Source organism: Homo sapiens, chromosome 14, assembly GCF_000001405.40.
Source record: "Homo sapiens chromosome 14, GRCh38.p14 Primary Assembly".
Lineage (NCBI taxonomy): Eukaryota > Metazoa > Chordata > Mammalia > Primates > Hominidae > Homo > Homo sapiens.
The window spans coordinates 85,920,214-85,943,793 of NC_000014.9; the positions used below are offsets into that span (position 1 = coordinate 85,920,214).

Here is a 23,580-nt window from a genome sequence, read left to right on the forward strand (position 1 = left end):
TTGGGAGGCTGAGGCGGGCGGATCACGAGGTCAGGAGATCGAGACCATCCTGGCTAAGATGGTGAAACCCCGTCTCTTCTAAAAAAGAAAATACAAAAAATTTGCCAGGCGTGGCGGCGGGCACCTGTAGTCCCAGCTACTCGGGAGGCTGAGGCAGGAGAATGGCGTGAACCTGGGAGGCGGAGCTTGCAGTGAGCCGAGATGGCGCCACTGCACTCCAGCCTGGGTGACAGAGTGAGACTCCGTCTCAAAAAAAAAAAAAAAAAAAGTCAGTTCTTAATTTCACCTTTTGCAGATTTGTCATCTCCTTGACTAGAGACTTTTATCCACATATTATACCTTAATGAATGTATTAGTTTCAGAGCTTTTGGGTAAAAATGGCAGAAAACACAACCATAGTGGTTTAAAATCACACAGGCTTGTTTATTTCATAGACCAAGATATCCGGAGGGAGCCACTCAATAGGCAGGATGGCTGCTTCGAGATGTTCTCATGGACTCTGCTTCTTTCTATTTTTCTGTCTCAATCTGGTAGCTTTTCCCCACATGGTTTCAAGATGGTGGTTGTGGTTCAGGTAGGAAATAAAGGAATTAATTCTCTCAGAGGGAAGCCTTACCTTTTTATTATGAGAGATATATGGTTCCCAAAGACAACATCAATTTGGTTGGATACGTGTGAATTGTCCAACACTAGTTCGCTAGTGAAAAAAGTCTGTGGTATCAGTCGAATTAGAAAACCAAAAGTGTCTGCCTTAATGACTTTCTTTCACTTCACCTCAAAACTCTGGATGTACTCTTCTCTTCTCATTGCTACTATCACAGATTCCTAATGAGTAGGAGACAGGATATGAAACTATACTATACTCATTTTCTATAGTAAAACTTTAAGTGGGTCCCAGAACCCCAGAATTTCAGGCTTAACAAGGACTTCAAAGGTCACCTGGATCAATCCTGTATTCAAGGCCGATTTTCATGAAAACGAATTTGTTCAGCCTGCTTTGGAAAATCTTCAGCAATTTTCATGAGCCAGAGGATGTCTGAAGCTACCATCAGCAGAGGGTAATTTTGATTTGCTTTAGATGTCCCTAATGAAGCCACATACCAAGCAAAGTGGCTCTCTGGTCAGCGTTCCCCCTGGACTCCGATGGGAAGAGAAAGTGCACAGCAGAATACACAATAGCTTGCTTATCTGGAGTTCTTTTTCCCATGCAGCTGCTGCTGGCCTGGAATACTAACAGATAACTAGCATATTCTGAGGGTGAAATTAATGGATTGACAAAGAAATGCTGTCAGGGAGATTGTCAAGTTCCTTTCCTAGAACATTAGCCATTCTCTGAAGGTAATGGAAGTGGTTAGGCTAAATTGTCAGTTCATTTTGTTGGATTAAAAACGAAAAAGAAAACATTGGAAATAAAAACTGGGGGTTCTGACGGTGGCTTCCCCATACTATGACTGGACAAAGGGAGCTGTGTATATATTGGCAGGCTCAAATTAACTCAGCTAGGTGGAGACATTTTAACATTTCATTTGCAGCCTAATTTTCTATATATAGGTAAAATACTAATCTGGTCTTTAGCAGTTAGGGAAATGAGAATAAAACAGGGTCTTTTATTTTTGAGTGTTCTATTCACAAATTTTTGAGAAAGTACATAAAGTGAATATTACCAAAAATTACATGTTTTTGAAAAACAAAACAAAACAATACAATACCAAGTGATGTCTAAACTTATCCAGCATGTTGGTGAAGACAGATTACATCAAAATATGTGCAATGCCCTTTTCAAACTGCTGTGGAAATTGATACGGCTGAAATCAACTGTTTCTGTGCCCTTTTTGAGCCATCGTTCTGACATATTTTAGATAATGTGGAAAGCACAAACATTTAAAAAAATAATTTTACACTAAGAAAGAATAAATTTGTTCTATAGAAAGTCTACTTTTATGTGATTTATTTGATATGATTACTGTTGTTTGGTTTCATTTTGTTTTTTAAAATATATTTTTCTATATCTCCTGAGAAATATCAAAAGACTTAGCAGGACTTTCTCTACAATTCACAAAGATTTGATGGATTACACAGAGATTTAATAAGTCAACTAACTCATATATATGTATACATATTTTTCTTAATTCTGAATAAGAAATAATTTTCACTTTGGGAGCTCATTCTTGTGTGTGTGTGTGTGTGTGTGTATATATATATATACTGTCAATGTAATATATATGTGTGCATATATATATATATTCCATTGACAACTTAACTTTTTATAAGAAGCTACTGATAAAGTCTGTAATAGTCATGGAAGTGAGGATAAAATGAGTTAATTTAATTCTATTAATATAATACAGCCTCCTTTATAGAGTTACATCACTGGGGAGCCACCTTCAAAATTTTCTACTCTTATTTCCAACTTTATTCCATTTTTAATTGATCAAAATGCATTGACTCTTCAGTCTATCTACCCATAGATAGATTTGGTAGGTAGGTAGATAGGTAGTTAGGCAGACAGACAGACAGCTTGACAGATATAGGTAGATGCAGTGGCTCTAAATATTGGCTCAAGATATTCTGTATCTTAAACATAGGTTTTAGAAAATACTTCTTGTACTCCAAAGAGAACTCCATTAGAGATCTTTCTAGAACTTTTCTCTCTAGAAACATCACTGGCTTTCTGAATTAAAATGACTACTTGAGGAAAGACATACTGTTCCTTTTTTTTGAGATTTTAATCATTTAAGATTTTTGAGGAAGTATTCTTTTAGTGATACCTACTTTAACCTGGCCTACAGTACCTTAGTTACATCTTTTGATTTGATTTCTTTTTTATTTAGGGAAGTGAAATATTTACCTGAAGTAAGATTGCAAGAACCTTTATCAAATATAGACTAAGGACTAATATGCATTACCTCATAATATTTTAATGACTGGACAAAATCTGGATATACCCCAGCCTAAAATCTGCCCATAATCCTTTTTGTTTCTATTATTGGTCTGATCTGATGCACTATTTCTATAATACTCTACAAATATTCTGTTTTCACAGCAACCCCTTCGAGATTAGTCAATGATCTGTACACTCATTTCCATCTTTAAACTGTTACAGATATTCCAATATCAGAGGGAAAATGAGAAAGCAGATTAATGAGAATTCAATTGATGGCCCTACTGGTGTTTTGTTGGGTACCAGGCCTATTATCAAGGAAGACATCAAAGCTACCCAATCTCATGGTTTGCATAGATTGTCTTATTGCCTAAGGCTTCCGGTGGTTTGTTTATTTGTTTTGTTTTGATTTTGTTTTGTTTTTTACCTTTCCTTTCATTTTATCTGTCCTTCTGTCTTTCTTTTTGTTTGCAGAATAACTTCATAAAGTTTCTGGTTTATATTTTTATTTTTAGGCTACTATTTATTACAATTACAATCACAAATAATCCATAAAATCTAAATACAGTGATAATGTTTATGACTTTGCCTATCACTACTTATCAGGATACAGCTGTGTATATGTAGAAACACAAAGATAGAACCAAACTGAGTTATATTCTTGAGCCATCAAACATCTGTTAACAGAGGTACTTTGTTTCATTATGGAAAAACAGAGCTGAAGAGGGGGAGAAAAAATTCATTCATTCATTCATTCATTCAAACAAGTATGTATTAAAAATTTGCTATGTGATATACTACATTCTGCAATGAGGCTACAGAATTGAGTGCATACTGTCTTTCCTCAAAAAAGAATTAACAATATGTGGAAGAGGAGAGGTATAAGTGAGAGGGCGCTGAAGAGAAATTCTCCTACTTTACAATGTTAACTCATGGAATATTTTTACAAGTTCAGGATTGATATAATGGTGGTATAAGGAAGGAACCTGGCCAGAAAAAGATGGTCTATTCAAATTGAGTATTGTGATAAAAATGTAATGTGTGCACTACCTTTTGCAATGATACAAATAAAAAGTAAGGAAACCACAAAGGATATCACAATACTTGGACCCTACTTAGCCAGAGGGCTAGGGAGAGAAACACTGGAACCTGAAGAAACTGCATAGAAAAGCCACCAGACAGGAGCTGGGACCTTTGGTTGATAGAGCAGGGATGCAGGTAGCCTAAGATGACCCTGTAGGGAGAGATGACAGGAGGGAATAACTGCATTCCTCTCTTTACACACTCCCATCCTCTGCTAGTGCTCCACATTCATCAAATGAATCTTGAAACAGGGCAAGTCAGCCTTCAGAGACATAAAAAAGGTTGAAGAGGGTGTAGAATGGATCAGCAAACCACTGCACAATGATCAAAAGCACAAACTAGAGCCAGACTGCCTGGGTTCAAATAACAGCTTTGCCACTTACAGGCTATGATCTTAGGCAAGTCATTTGAGCTTCCATTCCCTTATCTTTATAATGGAGAGTATTACTAGGACTTCTTAACTGATTTTCTTTTAATAAAATTTTTATTTTAGGACAGTTTTAGACTTACAGAAAAATTGAGCTGGCGAAAACTGCGATTACTTTTGCACCAATCTAAATAGTGCAGAGAATCCCATCTACCTCATATTGTTTCCCCTATTACTAACATCTTACATGACTATGGTACATTTGTATATTGGTAAAGAACTAATGTTGCTACATTATTATTAGCCTAAGTCCATAAATCAGATTTCTTTAGTTTTTAATTGTGTTTTATTTTTTGTCCTGTTCCTGGATCTTATTAGAACACACATTACGTTTAGCTACCATGTTTCCTTACCTATCACCTCTCCACTGTGATGGTTTCTCAGTCTTTCTTTATTTCTCATTACCGTCATAGCTTTACATAACATTGGTCAGGTACTGCTGAGAAATATAGGCCAGAATAGTCCTCAATTTTTTTCTTTTTAAAATCAAGACATAATTAGCATACTATAAAATTCACAATTTTAAAGAATGCAATTCAATAGATTTTAATATATTCACCAGGTTGTGCATCTATCACTTGTATCTAATTCCAGAATGTTTTTATCATGCCAAAATGAAATTCCATACACATTCCTTCATTCATTAAGTCCCTGGAAACCACTGATAGATTTTCTATCCCTACAGATTTGTCTATTATGAGCAATTCATGAAAGTAGAGTTACACAATATGTGATCTTTTTTTTCTGGCTTCTAGCATGCATCTGCACTTCATTCTTTTTTTATGGCCAAATTATATTCAATTGTATAAATATATCAGATTTTATTTTTCCACTGATCAGTTGATGGACATTTGGATTGTGTTGATTTGGGGACTATTACAAATAATGCTATGAACATTTGAGTACAAATTTTTAAGTGAACATGTTTTTATTCTCTTAGCTATGTGCCTTGGAGTAGAATTGCTGGAGTATATGTATCTCTACTTTTAACTTTTTGAGGAACTGCCTATTGTCTTCTATAGGGCTGCGCCTCTTAACATTTCCATCAGCAAGTTATAAAGGTCCCGATTTTTTCACATCCTTATCAACACTTGGCAACATAGTCTACCTTTTTAAACTTGGTCCTTCTAGTGAGTATGAAGTAGTATCTTATTGTGGTTTTCCAAATAGCTGATGATGTTGAACAACTTTTATTGTTCATTGTCCATTTGTATATCTCTTCGGGACAAATATCTATTCAAAATCTTTGGCCATTTTTATATTGGATTGATTTGTCTTTTTATTTTTGGTAAGAGTTCTTAATATATTCTGGACACTAGACCCTTATCAGATACATGGTTTACAAATATTTTCTTACATTGTGTGGGTTGTCTTTTTACTCCTTGATAGTGTCTTTTTAAGTACACAAAGTTTTAATTTAGCTACAGTCCAATTTATATATTTTTTTGGTTGCTTGGGCTAGGTGTCATATCTAAAAAACTGCCTAACCCAAGGTCACAAAGATCTACAACGACGTTGTTTTCTAAGAGTTTTCGAGTTTTAGTGCCCACAGTTAGATCACTGATCCATTTTGAGTTAATTTTTGTATATGGTGTGAGGTTAGGGTTCAACTTTGTTCTTTTCCATGTGGATGTTCAGTTGGGCTGAACAGTGGATGTTCACTGTTCACTAAAAAAAATTAATTGGAATTTTCCTCTTGATTAGACTAGAATTATTGGTGTAGAAGGCCACAGAGGAAAAGCTCCATTCTCAAAACAACATACCATCACCAAGTTACCATGAATGAAGTCACCTTGAGCATCTGGATATGGTAGTATTTGTCAAGTTTCTTCACTGTTCATTTACTGACCCCACTATTCCACTTTCACCCCGCTTTCCATGTTGTACTCTTAGATGCAGACACGTCATTGTACATAAGGATTGGGGAGTTATGCTCCATACGCTTGAGAGCAGAGAAGCTATATAAGTTTTCTGGAATTTTTCTGCACATGAAATTTATTTATTCTCTTCATTTTTAAATTCATTTTTTTAATCAACATGGGCTCATGGATATTTATTTAATATGTTTGGTATTAACATTATACTTGGCTTAGCTTCTTAAATTGTTGTATTTTTGGCCATGGTCCTCTCCCAGTGATTTCCTTTGATATATTCATATTATTGCCTTTTTTTTGAGCACTTCTATACTTCCTGGCACTACAAGATATTCCAGGATTATCTTGTATATTTCATGTCCCAGTTATAGAATCAGTCATTTCTTCAAGGAGCAGATTTTTTGTTGAAAAATTTTATTAAAAAGCAAGATTTTGGTCCTAAGTTGTTCAGTGCTACTGAGGAGTCATTGTTTCTAGGCTCTTTCAACTAACAAAATAAGGAAATATACGTGTGTGTACTAACTCCTGTAGGTATGTATATCTATAAATATTGTTATATATAAACTTCTGCATATACATTAAACATGAGTGCATACTATCTCTACCTCTAATCTATTGCCACATAGGTTATTTTTGCCCTCTTTCTTTGCTTATCTGTAAGTTACCACCCCAACAGTGAGAAAACTGGCTCTTACCATCTGCTATTCTTTCACTTAAGTGTTCAGTTCTAATACACATATATAGTCATAATTGTTAACTCCTACACTTATGACAAAGAACTTCATTAACTAAATAATAGTCGTATGCACAATGCCTTTTGCCTTTAATATTACAGAATCCATTCATTTCCAGTCTTAGATTAATACCTTAATCTCTCAATCTTTTCAGTGATATTATTTCATGCCTTGTAGTACACTTAGATTTCTTTGTCACAGTTTACATTCCTTTCTTTTAAATTTTTCATTTTAATTTATCTTTTAAAAATCTCAACTTTTATTTTACATTCAGGGGTACATGTGCAAATTTGTTGTATGGGTATACTGAACTCAGGTAGTGAGCATAGTACCCAATATATAAATCCATGCCCCCTCCCTGCCTTTCTCTTCTAGTAGCCCACGTTTTACTCCATGTGTGCTCAATATTTAGCTCCGACTTATAAGTGAAAGCAGGCCATATTTGGTTTCCTGTTCCTTTTTTAGTTTGCTTAGGATTATGGCCTCCAGCTCCATCCATGTTGCTGCAAAGGACATGATTTCATTCTTTTCTATGGCTGCATAGTATTTTATGGCATATAATTACCACATTCTCTTTTTTCAATCCACCATTGATGAATAGTTAGGTTTATCCTATGTTGTATTAGTCAGGGTTCTCTAGAGGGACAGAATTAATGGAATATATATATATATATATATATTTATTTATTAAGTATTAACTCACACGATCACAAGGGCCACAATAGATCATCTGTAGGCTGAGGAGAAAGAAGAGCCAGTCCAAGTTCCAAAACTGAAGAACATGGAGTTGGATATTTGAGGGCAGGAAGCATCCAGCACAAAAGAAAGATGCAGGCTGGGAGGCTAGGCGGGTCTCTCTTCTCACATTTTTCTGCCTGCTTATATTCTAGCCACCCTGGCAGCTAATTAGATTGTGCCCACTCAGATTAAGGATGGGTCTCCCTTTCCCAGCCCACTGACTCAAATGTTAATATCCTTTGGCAACACCCTCCCAGACACACCCAGGATCAATTACTTTGTATCCTTCAATCCAATCAACTTGACAGTATTAACCATCACAAGTCTACCCCTTGTCAACTTGAACCCATACACATCTCCTGAGATCATAATTTCAAATAAAGACAATAATAAAGTCATAATTACACCTAACATAATACAACTATCCTTTGTACAATCAGAAATGCACCAATCCCCAACTCTATTACATAAAGTTATATAAATACTATTACAAAAAGTTACATAAATACTATTACATAAAGTTAACAATACTTAAATGCTGATGAGAAGTCAGTAAACCTTATGTCACATGATAAAGGAGAAAGGAAATAAGATGAAGATATTTTCTTACATGTATACATGCACGAACATGTTTTTACACAAAAGAAGGAGGAAATACTCATGACAATCACAGTCCTTGTTTCTGCAGTTGGTCACATGGTCGTAGCTGGTATTGTTGACTACCTTCTTCTACTACCCGTTCCGCATTCCCTTTGCCTTCAGCAAGCACCTCAGCAAGTCATGGTATTTTTCCTAGTGGAGTAACCCAAACCTTCATTCCTGAAGGGTCTGGGTCTTCTCTAGTCCTGCCTGTATTGACTGTTGTAGTTTCCTATTAACATTAATCACAGGGCACTAAGAGACATCCTAATGGATCTCCTGTATTCCATGCATACTCTTCCTTACCTCCACTGTGGAGAAGTAGACTGATTTCATTTTGATAGTGTGGGTCAATCGCAGCAGCCAACACTGTAACACCCTTCTTAGCCTGTTGACTTAAAGGTAGGAGGAGCTCAAAGTTTCCAGGTGGCAATCTGAACTTCCAGTTTAATAGGACCATTGTTTTGTCTCCTGATGTCAGTGTTCCTCCTTCTGGAACTAAGACCTCTAGGACAGCAGAAGATAATGTCATGGGAAAGGGAAGCAAAAGTTTGGCTAGTGGATCAATAGGGGTGATGGTGAGTGGTTACACTTCTACTTTCAACCCCTTGATTCCTCGCCCCTTCAATCCTGGCTATGGGAGAAATAGTACCATATATTGGATGCTGATTCAGAGCATTCATGGCCTTCTGTAAAACTTCACCCCAGCCCTGCAAGTATTGTCACCTAGTTGGCATCATTATTGTGACTACAAAAGGCCATTGCACCGTTCTATCAATCCAGCTGCTTCAGGATGGTGGGGAACATGTAAGACCAGTGAATTCCTTGAGCATGGGCCCACTGCTGCACTTCTTCAGCTGTAAAGTGAGTGCCTGGGTCAGAGGCAATGCTGTGTGGAATATCATGACAGTGGATAAAGCATTCTATGAGTCCACGGATGGCAATTGGCAGTGGCCGTAGTCAGGTCAGCCTTGCTAAGCAGAAGTCCATGTTGGTGAGCCCATGCGTAACCTCCATCCCTCCAACCATGTCCACTTTGTTCATGGGCCCACTGGGCGATGACAGGGGTGGCTGGAGAAAGAGGCTGAGTGGCGTCCACAGAATGGGTTATCATAACCACTTGAATATTAAAATCCTCCTCTGCTGAGGCCACCCACTGGTGAGCACTCACATGGGATACAAATATCTTTGCAGCTTTTGATCACTCAGAGAGGCCCATCCACATACCTCTTCCCCAAATTTCTTTGTCACCAATTTTCCAATCATATTTCTTCTAAGTCCCTGACTATCCAGCCAAACCACTGGCTACAGGCCATGAATCAGTGCATAATTGCACATCTGGCCATTTCTCATTGCGTGCAAAAATGCACAACCAGGAGCACTGTTCAAAGTTCTGCCCACTGGGAAGATTTCCTTTCACTGCTGTCCTTCAGGGATGTCCTAGAAAGTCGCTGTAGTGCTGCAGCTGTCCATTTTCAGGTGGTGCCTGCATATCGTGCAAAACCATCTGCGAACCAGGCCCTAGTCTTCTCTTCCTCTGTCGACTGATCATAGGGAACTCCCTATGAGGCCGTTGGTTCAGGTTGGGGGAGAGAAGGCAGGCTGGCAGAGGTGGAGACCATGGGTATTTGAGCCAATTCCTCATGTAACTTACTTGTGCCTTCAGGACCTTCTCGAGCCTGATCACGTATACACCACTTCCATTTGATGATGGAATGCTGCTGTGCATGACCCACTTTATGGCTAGATGGGTCAGGAAGCACCCAGTTATTATAGGTAGTTCAGGTCACATGGTGACTTGATGACCCATAGTTAAACATTCAGTTTCCACCAAAGCCCAGTAACAGGCCAAGAGCTGCTTGCTGTCTCTCAAAAGGAGGGTAGTTATCTGCATAAGATGGCAGGGCCTTGCTCCAAAATCCTAGAGGCCTCCTCTGTGATTTACCTATGGGGGCCTGCCAAAGACTCTAAAAAGCATCGCTGTCTGCCACTAAACCTATCATTGGACCTGTTGTGTCATATGGCCCAAGTGGCAGAGCAGCTTGCATAGCAGCCTGGACCTGCTGCAGAACATTCTCCTGTTCCGGACCTCACTCAAAACTGCCAGCCTTTTGGGTCACTCAATAAATGGGCTGGGGTAATATACCCAAATGAGGAATGTGTTGCCTCCAAAATTCAAATAGGCCCACTAGGTGTCGTGCCTCTTTCTTGGTTGTAGGAGGATGCAGCAACTTGTCCTTCACTTTAGAAGGAATGTCTCGACAGGCCCCACATGACTGGACCCCTAGAAATTTTTCTGACGTAGAAGGTCCCTGACATTTAGTCGAATTTATTTCCCATCTTCTGGCACACAAATGTCTCACCAATAAGTCCAGTGTGTTTGCTACTTCTTGCCCACTGGATACAAGCAACATAAAGTCATCAATTTAATGGACCAGTGATATCTTGTGGAAGCAAGTTCTCTCCAAATAACATCATGACACAAAGCCAGAGAGTTGATATACCCCTGAGGTAGGGCAGTAAAGGTATATTACTGGCCCTGCCAGCTGAAGGCAAATTGCTTCTGGTGGGCCTTATGGACAAGAATGGAGAAAAAGGCATTTGCCAAGTCAGTGGCTGCATACAAAGTACCAGGAGATGTGTTAATTTGCTCAAGCAATGAAACCACATCTGGTACAGAAGGTGCAATTGAAGTCACCACTAGGTTAAGCTTACGGAAATCCACTAATCCACTGTCATTCTCCAAGATCTATCTGTCTTCTGCACAGGTCAAATAAGAGTTGAACAGGGATGTGGTGGAAATCACCATCCCTGCATCTTTTATGTCTTTGATGGTGGTACTAATCTCTGCAATCCCTCCAGAGATGCGATATTGCTTTTGATTTACTATTTTTCTAGGTAGAGGCAGCTGTAATGGCTTCCATTTGGCCTTTTTCTATCCTAATAGGCTTCATCCTACCTGTCAGGGAGCCAATGTGGGGGGTTTTTCCAGCTGCTAAGTGTATCTATGCCAATTATGCATTCTGGCATTGGGGAAATGACCACAGGATGAGTCCAGGGACCCGCTAGACCCACCATAAATTGGACCTGAGCTAAAACCCCATTAATTACCTGACATCCGTAAGCCCCTACTTTAACTGGAGGACCACAATGACGTTTTGGGTTCCCTGGAATCAACGTCAGCTCAGGCCAGTGTACAGTAGTCCCCAAAATGTCTGATCATTTCCCTTTCCCCAATGCACAATTACCCTGGTAAAAGGCCAGATGTCTCTTTGGGGAAGGATGGGAGAAAGATTCACAGCATAAATTGTAAGTAATGTAGTGGGGTTCTTTCTCAAGGGGACCTGGCCTCATCTTCATTTAAGGGGTTCTGGGTCTGTAAACTGGCTCAAGACTGGAAATTGATTGAGGGGCCATGATTCTCTGTTTTTATAATTCAAATTAGTCTTTTGTCCATTCGACCTAGAAGTTTTCTGCTTGTATAAATTAAGCAAAAATGCAGTAGGCTTCCTATTAATTTCACTTCTAGGAACACCATTATTAATTAGCCAATGCCAGAGCTCTACACAAATCAGACTGTTCTGATCGTCACTTTGCCTCTGCTGTCCATTACAGTAGCTATGCCCACCTTGCCTTTGATGGTTGAGTGCCACCACTTGGTCCCTGCCACCTCGGGATCCAATTATTCCCATTGTATTTAAATTTTGTATTGAGTGACTACGGTTCCCACTGTTAGATCTGACATACAGAGAAGGGCAATTACAGGTCTCTTCAAAGATGTAGGTGCTGCCCTCACAAATCTATTTCCCAAGGCATTGATCAAGGGTATATCTTCTGGACCCTGCCAGCTGGGATGAGTAGGTCTAAAGTGAATAATCCACTGTACCATCCCAATCTTCCTAAGCCTTTGGATCCCTTCCTCTACATTAAACCAAAGGAGATCAGGCATTTCTAGCTCACTCGTAGTAGGCCATCTTTTAATCTATATTTTAGCTAAACAAGCAAATAAACTATTAGAACCTTTTTTAACTCCCCCAGCTGAAACATTAAATGAACAATCCCTACTTAGTGGGCCCAAATCAATAAATTCAGCCTGATCCAACTCTATGTTCCTTCAACCATTATCCCACACCCTTAATATCCATTCCCATGCCTGTTCTCCAGATTTCTGTTTAAACTCAAGCAATTCTTTTTGGGTGTAGAACATCTCATGGGTCACACTCTCAACCTCACCTCTAGAGGCTCGCCTGGACTTTAGTCTAGTTATAGGTCTAGAAGGAAACAGGGGTGTTGGAGGTGGCTCCTGAAGATAATCAACTTTACCTTGCCTGGAAACTGCCTCAAGGGAGGCCATCACTGTTGCCTCAGGCAGCACAGGGTTTATCTCCTCAGACAAAGGTGGAAAGGCTGATGGCAGTGTGGGTCAGGGAGGGGATATTGTCTCTACTGGGGATGGGGAAGCTGTTTCCTCTGGCCGAAAAGTTTCATCAGAGTTTACAAACTCAGTGTCCCCAGCTTCATTAGGGTCCTCCCACACGTCCCCATTCCAAGTTGCAGGGCCCCATTCTTTTCTAATCAAAGCGCTCACTTTAACAGTGGACACCTGGTGAGGCTGTGCATGCATCTTTCATTACAGGTCAGCCTACATGATAAGGGTTTGTGTCTGTTTTTCCACAATTTCAGCTCTTTCTCTACAGGAAGATAAGACTCTCACTCAGGGCAGTCTTAGCAGATTTGAGGCTCAGTATCTGCTTCTGAGGCCGGGAGATAGAATCCCTGAGTTCATTATTTTCTTTCATCACTTTTTCCACTGAACTTAGGAGCAACCAACCAGCTTCATTATGTTCCTTGGTTCTCCACATATGGTCAAAGGTATTACATGTAGAGTCACTAAAATCCTTGCCTCTCAGGAGCGATGAATCAGGAGTGTCAAATGCATTTATTTTGCATATTTCTCGAACAGTTCATGCCAAGGATTATCAGTGTTCTCCATGCTATTAGAAGTAGAGTTCTTAGCATTTTTGGCGTCTAATATTAAGCAGCCAACACCAGAAATTCCAAAACCAATGAAAGAACTACATCCTTAATATTCTGTTCCTCTAGAAGACCACTTCTGGTACCAACATCTGTATCAGGGTTCTCTAGAGGGAAAGAACTAATGGAACACACATATATACATAAAGGGGAGTTTATTAAGTATTAACTCACACAATCACAAGGTTCCACAATAGGCTGTCTGCAGGCTGAAGAGTAAGAAGAGCCAGTCTGAGTTCCAAAACTGAAGAACTTGGAGTCGGATGTTCCAGGGCAGGAAGCATCCAGCACAAGAGAAAGATGTAGGCTGGGAGACTAGGCCAGTCTCTCTTTTCCATTTTTCTGCCTGCTTATATTCTAGCCACCTGGCAGCTGATTAGATTGTGCCACCCAGATTAAGGGTGGGTCTGCCTTTCCCAGCCCACTAACTCAAATGTTAATCTCCTTTGGGAACACCCTCACAGACACACCCAGGATCAATACTTTGTATCCTTCAATCCAGTCAAATTGACACTCAGTATTAACCATCACATATGTCTTTGCTATTGTGAGTAGTGTGGCAATGTACATACAATAGCATGTGTTTTTTCCAGTATGATGACCTAAATTCCTTTCGTTATATACCCAGTAATGGTGAGGGACTAAGTGGCTAAGTTGGCTGGACTTCCTGGGTCAATAGGGACTTCCCTAAGGGGACTATCCCCTAAACCCAAATAAGTCACAGCTGCAAGCTAAGGGATTTAAACTTCAACCAATCAAAGGGGACTTTCCCCTAAGCCAAAATGAGTCACAGCTGCAAGCTAAGGGATTGAAACTTCAACCAATCATATAGGGAGTTTAAGGTCTAGCTACAGCCTGATGTTTTTAACCAATCAGGCCCATCAACCCACAAGTGGGTTGAAAATAAGCTAATTGTATAGGACAGAAAAAGGAAAAGGGGAGGGGTCATAAGGCGATATAAGCATAAGACACCCAAGCCAGAAACAGCAACCCTTCTGGGTCCCCTTCCACCACGCAGAAGCTTTACTTTCGCTTTCACTTTACTTTTGCTTTCACTTTAACAAATCTTGCAGCCGCACACTCTTTGGGTCCGCCCGTTTCTCTAATCAAGTTGTAACACTCGCTGCTGTGGTCCACAGCTTCATTCCTTGAAGCCCGTGAGACACGAACGCTTCCATTGAGAAAAACCTTCCATCAGAAGAAGACTTCTCGTCTCAGTGGGACTGCTGAGTTGAATGGTACCTCTGTTTTAAGTTCTCTGAAAAGTCTCCAAACTGCTTTTTATAGTGGCTGAACTAATTTTCATTCTCACCAACAGTGTATAAATGTTCCTTTTTCTCTAGACTCGCCAGCATATGTTGTTTTTTGACTGTAGAGTAATAGCCATTGTAACTGGTTTAAGATGATATAGCATTGTGGTTTTGATTTGCATTTCCCTGATGATTAGTGATGACAAGCATTCTTTCATGTTCGTTGGCCGCTTGTATGTCTTCTTTTAAGAAGTGTCTGTACATGTCCTTTGCCCATTTTTTAATGTATTCTGTTTTTTGCTTGTTGTAAGTTCCTTACAGATTCTGGATATTAGGCATTTGTTGGATGCATAGTTTGCAAATATTTTCTCACATTCTGTAGGTTTTCTGTTTACTCTATTGGTAGTTTCTTTTGCTGTGCAGCAGCTCTTTAATTAGGTCCCACTTGTCAATTTTTGTTTTTGCTGCAATTGTTTTTGGGGACTTAGCCAAATTTTCTTTGCCAAGGCCAGTGTTGAGAAGGATATTTCCTAGGATTTTTATAGTTTGAGAGCGTACATTTGAGTCTTTAATTCATCCTCAGTTAATTTTTGTATCTGGTGAAAGGTAGGGATCCAGTTTCAATCTTCTGCATACTAACCAGTTATCCCAGCACCATTTATTGAATAGAGTGTCCTTTCCTTGTTGCTTGTTTTTGTTGGCCTTGTTGAAGATTGGATGGTTGTATAGTCACAGTTTACCTTGTATCTGGGATCTCCTAACCTCCTAAATAATTTTTTAAAAATTTTCATACATTACGGTTAAGTTTTTGTGCTCTAGACTTTTATGGGTTTTGATAAATGCATAATATCATCTATCCACCATTGCAGTATCATACAGAATAGTTTCACCACTCTAGGCAATCTCTTGTGCTTCACCTACTCAAATCTGTGTCTGTGAACCTCTAGAAACCACTGATATCTTTATTTTCTTTATTTTTTCATTTTTAGAGACAGGGTCTTGCTTCGTTTCCCAGTCTGGAGTGCAGTGGCACCATATATATGGCTCACTGCCACCTTTACTTCCTGGGCTCAAAGGATCCTCCTGCCTCAGCCTCCCAAGTAGCTGGGACTACAGGTGTGCACCACCATGCCCAGCTAATTTTTAATTTTTTTTGTAGAGCCAGGGTCTTGCCATCTTGCCCAGGCTGCTTTCAAATGATATCTTTACCCTCTCTATAAGTTTGCTTTTTCCAGAATGTAATATAATCATGCAGTATGCAGCAGTCCTTTCATGCTGGCTTCTTTCATTTAGCAATACACATTTAAGAATCATCTATGTCCTTGTACAGCTTGATAGCTCATTCTTTCCTATCTCTGAATAGTATTTCATTGTATGGATATACCAGAGTTTATTCATTTCTGTGTTGAAGAACATCTTGATAGCTTTCAGTTTTTGGTGATAATTTTATAAAATTCTATAAACATTCATGTGAAAGTTTTCTGTAGTTAAAATTTCTCAAATCATCTAGGTAAATATCTAAGAACCCAGCTGCTGGATTACAAGGTAAAAATATGTTTAGCTTTGTTAGAAACTGCTAAGTTATCCATCAGAGTGGTTGTACCATTCTGCATTTTCTCCGGTGATGAATGAGAGTTCTTGTTGCTCCTCATCCTAACCAGTATTTAGTATTAGCATATTTTGGTTTTTAGCCCTCTTAATACATGTACAATGTTATCTCATTATTATTTTAATTTTTATATACCTAATGACAACCAATGTTGAGCATCTTTACATGTACTTATTTGCCATATATATGGTGGTATCTGTTTAGAACTTTTGCTTACTTTTTAATTGAGTTGTATTTTATTCTTGAGTTTTAAGCATCACTCTGTATATTTTGGATGTATTATTTTTATTTTTTCTATCTTTTTTTTTTTTTTACCAGATATGTGTTTCACAAATATTTTTTTCTCATTCTATGGCTTGTCCTTTAACTCTCTTAATATTTCTCAAAGAGCAGATGTTTATAATTCTAATAAAGTCTTACTTTTTTTTCATGTATTGTGCTTTTGGTGCTGTATTTAAAAACTCATCGACAAATCTAAGATTCCATAGATTTTCTCTTTTCTTTTTCTTTTAGATGTTTTATAGTTTTTCATTTTAAAGTTAGGTACTTGATCAATTTCAACTTAATTTTTGTGAAAGCTGTAGAATATGTGCTAGGTTCTTTTTGTTTTAATTTGAGTATCCAATTGTTTCAGCACTATTTGTTTAAAATGTCAACATTTGCTTCATCGACTTGACTTTGAATCTTTGGGAAAAATGGAAACTACCATTGCAAAATTATAACTGAGACAGTGAAAGATATTTGACCTAACCAACTCCATTTTCTTCTAACCTCCAAGCTGTCCTTGTTCATTCCTCGGTGTAGGCTGAACTAACTTTGGGAGGAACTTAGTTTATAGTTTAAAACAAAAACAATAACAGCCCTTTCCCCAGACAAACCTCCTTCTTGCCTGGGGACTAGACTGCCTTTGTAGGACTAACAAATTAGCCACAAGATTAGAAATTATGGGCTGGGTGCGGTGGCTCATGCCTGTAATCCCAGCACTTTGGGAGGCCAGGCGGGTGGATCATGAGGTCAGGAGATCGAGACCACCCTGGCTAACATGGTGAAACCCCATCTCTACTAAAAATACAAAAAAAAAAAAAAATTAGCCGGGTGTGGCGGCAGGCACCTGTAGTCCCAGCTACTCGGGAGGCTGAGACAGGAGAATGGTGTGAACCCAGGAGGTGGAGCTTGTGGTGAGCCAAGATCGTGCCACTGCACTCCAGCCTGGGCGACAGAGTGAGACTTGGTCTCAGAAAAAAAAAAAAAAAAAAAAACAAAAAAACCCTAATCTGCTCTTAAGATCAGTGATTGAGATAAATTTGCAGACCCTCCCCTTGATGGATCAGCTGGCACCACCCAGATCAATTAACTGGCTCATCTGATCTTGTGGCTCCAGCCAGGAACTGACTTGGCCCAAGAGGACAGCTTCAATTCCCTATGATTTTATCCCCTTCCTGACCAATCAGCACTCTTGGCTCACTGGCTTCCCCCCGCCTACCAAGTTGTCCTTAAAACATCTGATCCCTGAATGCTCAGGGAGACTGATTTGAGTAGTAATAAAGCTCTGGTCTCCTGCACAGCTGGCTCTGCGTGAATTACTTTTTCTCTATTGTAATTCCCCTGTCTTGGTAAATTGGCCCTGTCTAGGCAGTGGGCAAGATGAACCCAATGGGAAGTTATAAATTCATTTGAATATATGTTTGGGCCTATTTATAGGCTCTCTGTTTTGTTCCACTGATCTATGTGGTTTTTTTTTGGTGAGGTGAGGTCAATGCTATGTGGTCTTAATCATTGTAGCTTTACAGTAAGTCTTAAAATAAGATAGTGTGAATCCTCAACATTATTCCTCTGTTCCTGCAGGATTGTGTTGGTTATTCTGGATCTTCTGCCTTTTAATTTTTCCTATAGAGGCAAAAGGAAAGCTTCTCTTCTGCTCTCTGAGGATTTGCTGCTGAAAAAAACTGACAATAGATAGATTAACAAAAGAAAGTCATATAACTCTATTAATGTGCAGAAGCATGGGAGCCATGGAAAATATGAGTCTCAAAGAAGGGCCAGATGGCTGCAGCTTAAATAACACTCTTCATAGGGGAGAGGGAGATGGGAGTGCAGGCAATTTAGAGTATAGGCAATGATGTTTAGAGAAATGAATTAGCCTAAAAAAAGACAAAGTTCTTTTGAGATCTGGGCGAGGTGGTGGCAAGTTATGAGAAGGTGATGAGATGTTCACCATGAACAAAATTTGTCTTATTATGCAGATAGTGTCCCTGGTAATCTCTTGGAGCTTCCCTCAGAAGTCTAGATGAAAAATCTCTCTGAGCGTGGTGATGACTTCAGATCTAGTCTCTTCTCCAGTGGTTAATCTTTCCCTGTTTTCTGTTGAAATTTCTAGGAAGTGTGTTTTAAGACAATTTCATGACTTCTGGAGGAACTTTTTTAATCAGATAAGGGAACTTGAGAGAAGGGTTTTCCTGAGGCTTCAATAAAGGAAGGGGTAAGGGGGGGCAGAGATTAAAGAGAGGCCATGGTCCTGAGGCTTATTTCTGAGGCCTTTCAACATTTTTTTTTTCAAAGCACTCAGCATGCCAAACTGCCATATTTTGGGTTGTCATTTTCTGAACCCCAATAAAACTTTAGAATCAGCTTATCAATATCTCCAAAATAGTGTACTAAGATTTTCTTTGAGATTCAATTGAATCACTTGAGAGAGTTTGGAAGAATTGTCATCTTAAGAATATTGAATCTTGGCTAGGCGTGGTAGCTCACACCTGTAATCTCAACACTTCGGGAGGCTGAGGCGGGCAGATCACGGGGTCAGGAGTTCGAGTCCAGCCTGACCAACATGGTGAAACCCTGTCTCTACTAAAAAAATACAAATTATCTGGGCATGGTGGTGGCTGCGTGTAATCCCAGCTACTCAGGAGGCTGAGGCAGGAGAATCGCTTGAACCTGGGAAGTGGAGGTTGCAGTGAACCGAGGTCACGCCATTGCATACCAGCCTAGGTGACAGAGTGAACCTCTGTCTCAAGAGAAAAAAAAAAAAAGGGAATATTGAATCTTTAAACTTGTAAATACGAGGCATCTCTCCATATATTTACACAACTCTTTGATTTTTTCATCATTGTTTTGTGTTTTTTGGTCTATAGATCCTAAATATATATGTATGGTTATATTTGTATGTGAATACTTCATTGTTTCAGTTTGGGGGAGGCTATAATAAATGCCTCTTTTTAAAAAAAATTATAAATCCCAATTGTTCTTTGCTTGTATGTAAACATGGACTTGACGTTTGTGTAATAACCTTGCATCTTGTGAACTTCTATAATTGCCTATTAATTCTCACTGCAGCCTCCGCCTTTGGGTTCAAACAAATCTCTTGCCTCAGCTTCCTGAGTAGCTGAGAGTACAGGCGCATGCCACCAAGCCTGGATAACTTTTGTATTTTTAACAGAGATGGGATTTCACCAGGTTGGCCAGTTTGGTCTCGAACTCCTGACCTCAGGTGATCCACCTGCCTCGGCCTTCCAAATTGCTGGGATTACAAGCGTGAGCCACTGAGCCCAGCCACTTGCCTATTTATTCTAAGTTGCTGCTGTTCATAGTTGCTTTGATTTTCCACATAGAAAATCATGTCATCTGTGTATTAAGACAGTTTTATTTCTTTTTTTCCAATTTGTATACCTTTTATTTATTTTTCTTACTCTTTTGTATCAATTAGTATTTCCAATACAAAATTGAAAAGTAATGACAAAACATCCTTGTCTGTTCCTGATCTTAAGGAAAAATTTTCCAGACACCCACCACAAAGTATGATGCTAGCGGTAGGAGGTTTTGTAATTTTAAAACACCAAATTAAGGAAGGCCCTCTCTATTCCTACTTTGATGTGTGTTTTCATGCTGAATGGGCATGGATTCTGTCACATAATTTTTTCGTTTCAATTGATACAGGCACATAATTTTTCTGGGTCTGTTACATTAGTTGATTTTTTTGAATGTGAGTTAACCTTGCATACTTGAAATAAACTTTCTGGGTTGTAGTGTATTACTGTTTTTATACATTCTCTTCAATTTGTTATTATTTAGTTGAGAAATTTTGCTTCTGTTCTTAAAGGATATTGGTCAGTAGTTTTCTTTTCTCTTAATGTCTTTATCTGCTTTTGGTAGGAGGGAAATGCTGATATTATGTAATAAGTTAGGAAGTGGCCCTTCTGTTTCTGTTGTGGAGAAACGGCATTATTTGTTTCCTAAGTGTTTGGTAGAATTCATTAACTGAAACCATCTGTTTCTCAGGCTTTCTTTTTTTAAAGTTATGAAATATTGATTGAATTTATTTAATAAATACAGGACAATTCTCATTTTCCTTTGTATAAATTTTGATAGTTTGTCTTTCAGGAGGTTTAGCTATTTAAGCTTTGTTATCAAATATGTTAGCATAACATTGTTCATTATAATCTTTTTTTTATTCTTTTCATGTCCATGGGTTCAGTAGTAATGACTCTTTTATTTCTGATATTGATAATTTCTGTCTTCTCTTTTTTATCTTGGTTAGCCTGGCTATAATTTTGTCAACTTTACTGAACTTTGCAAAGAAAAATATTTTGGTTTGTTTGATTTTTATCTATTATTTCTCTCCTTTTGATTTCTGTTACTTCTGCTCTAATCTTTATTAATTCTTTTATTCTGCTTGTTTTAGGTTAAGTTGCCCTTATTTCTATGGTTTCTTATAGTAGAAAGGTTATTGATTGTAGATATTTCCTCTATTCCAAGATATGCATTTAATTCTATGAATTTTGAAGCACTATTTTCACTGCATTCTCAAGTTTAATAATTGCATTTTAATTTTCCTTTATTTTAAACTATGTAAATGTTCTCTTGAGACTTTTTATTTGACCCATATGGTATTTAGAAGTATATTATATAATTTTCAGATACTTGGAAATTTCTCAGCTAAATTTCTGTTATTGACTTGTAGTTTTGACTGCACCTGTTATCTAAGATTAAACTTCATATTATTCTTATTTTTTAATAAGTATTTTTGATTCTTCTTTCCATTCCTTATGATGTTGCTAGCATTCATTTCTTTTATTCATATGCTTGAATCACCAAATAAATTGTTATTATTACTTTAAACAAATAGTTACTTTTTTGGTCATTTAAGAAAAAGTAAAACAAAATATTTTATTTTATCTTTATTTATTTATTCCTATCTTTTCTAGATACACATTTCTGACATAGCATTTCCTTCTGTTTGAAGAACATCTTTTAACATTTCATGCAGGAAGTTCTGCTGCCAATAAAATTCTTTATTTCTTCTTCACTCTTCAAGGATAATTTTGCTGATTATAGAATTTTAGTTTGGTAGTTTCTTTAAATATTTTAAGTATTTCACTTTACCCTCTTCTTGCTTGTGTGATTTTCGATAAGCCTGCTTTTATCCTTAAAATTGTTCCTCTATAGGTAAGTTTTTTGTTTTTGTTTTAGATCTGGCTACTTTCAAGTTGTTCTTCCTATCTTTAGTTTTCTGCAGTTTGAATTTTATATGCTTTGGAGGAGTGTGTATGTGTGTGTGTGTGTGTGTGTGTGTGTGTGTGTGTGTGTGCATTTATTTATTTATTTTTCCTGCTTTTTGTTTTTTGAATGTCCTTGATTTGTGGCTTAGTGTTTGCCGTTAATGTTTTAGATTTCTTGGTCATTATTACTTCAAATCTTATTCCTTCATTCTCTTTCTTTTCCTTCAAATAATATGCATATGATGCCTTTTAAAATTATACTGCAATTTATTTTTAGCTTGTTTTTGGTTTTTCTTTTATTACAATTTTTGAATGTTCTGTCTTTTTTTGTACTACTTTTCCCTTCGCATATATTTTGAGAATTCTCTCTAACAGCCTATTTTTAACCTCGCTGATTCTTTTCTGAGTTATTTGGAGTCTACTAATGAGCAATAAAAGGCACCTCTTCTTTTTCCTGTTAAGTATTTTCCTATTTCTAGTATTTCCTTTTGATTATATGCAATTTTGATAGTCTCAGCTTTGGCTCACAGAAACATCAATTGTCTTTCTATGGGAGCAGAAACTTGAATGAGAGTCCCATTAAGTCAACAAGTAGATAATTTCAAATTTCTAGATTTTTGAAATTATGACATTTGACATTCAACCAGTTAAATTATTTTTCTGAATCTATTATTTGGTCCGTCTAAATATGTTCTCATACCTGACTTAGTAGAAAGTAGAATTTAATTTTGATTGCATATTTAGTGCTAAGACACGTGTAGAACGACAACATATGCTAAAGCCTAAATTTTATAGTCAGGAGTGGCCATTTGTATCAGGATCAAGCATATAATGAGAATTACTCACATTGAAGTGTAGGAAATCAGAGCACCCGTATCTTTGATTCATTCTCAAGACCAAGTCAACTGGATCTAACATGAATATCAGGTGATGAAATAAAAGTGTGGCAAAATGTGAGCTAAAGACATTCTTATGGGCCGACATTGCTGTTATTCTGCTGTTAAAGCTAAGAACTCCTGCCTTGATGGATCATCTTTCTACAGATTAAAGTATAGTGTAAAGTCCATTTTTGTGTAGACTAAAGTACATTGTAAACAATAGTATCTGGTGATTGGTAAAGAATAGGCAAAGCCTACTTCAAGCCTTTCTTGAAGAGTGCCAATCATAAAAACAATATAGATACATAAACCATGTGAGCAATTCTAAATACTAATATCCCATGTTACAGTATGTAACATTTTAAACAAGTGCTGTACTTCAATATGATTCATTATACTCACCAAATGCTCTAGATAAATATATGTAAACAGTTTTGCCCATCATTCCTCCAAAATTCTCCTTTCAGCTCAGAGTGCACTGTTTAACAATCAAAGTTCCTCAAAGCATTGCCTTATGAAAAGGTTAGCATCAGCATGACACATTGGGGAAACTGCAAAAGCAACTTTCAATTGCAGCATTTCATTTCAACACACCACAAATTATCGCTCTTTGCTAGGATTTTGAACTGAAGAAAAAAGAAATGTCCAAATACCAAACCTCTAAAATATTTTTGTTTCCTTTGAAATAAGAGGAAGAAAACACTTCCTTGCAACCACTTGAAACAATAATAAGGCAGGTGTAACCATTACAGGGTAAAATTCTTTGTAAAAACTGTCACTAGACACTCAGACTAGGTGTCCTCATGCAGTAACTTGAGAGATCATTGATGCCATTTTTTTAAAGCAACAGCGAAACTTTGGGTCTGACAAACCCCATTCTTTTCTCAAAAATTCAACTGCGTAATAAGATGGCACTGCCTCTATACATCCATTTAATT

The 23,580-nt window shown here is 37.9% G+C and overlaps 1 long non-coding RNA gene across 1 annotated transcript in view, besides 2 other annotated features; it reads left to right on the forward strand.

The window, feature by feature from the left end:
* Positions 13,950-13,999: an enhancer, noted in NCBI's record as "active region_8831". NCBI's record gives its function as "activates an Ori minimal core promoter by ATAC-STARR-seq in GM12878 lymphoblastoid cells {active_cell/tissue: GM12878}" and the evidence as "EXISTENCE:reporter gene assay evidence [ECO:0000049][PMID:35858748]".
* Positions 14,370-14,579: an enhancer, noted in NCBI's record as "active region_8832". NCBI's record gives its function as "activates an Ori minimal core promoter by ATAC-STARR-seq in GM12878 lymphoblastoid cells {active_cell/tissue: GM12878}" and the evidence as "EXISTENCE:reporter gene assay evidence [ECO:0000049][PMID:35858748]".
* LINC02328 (long intergenic non-protein coding RNA 2328) overlaps positions 14,465-23,580 on the forward strand; it is a 195,101-nt gene continuing 185,985 nt past the window's right edge. Inside the window, exon 1 of the long non-coding RNA NR_110155.1 lies at positions 14,465-14,648. This is a non-coding gene — a long non-coding RNA (long intergenic non-protein coding RNA 2328). The remainder of the gene's footprint in view (positions 14,649-23,580) is intronic.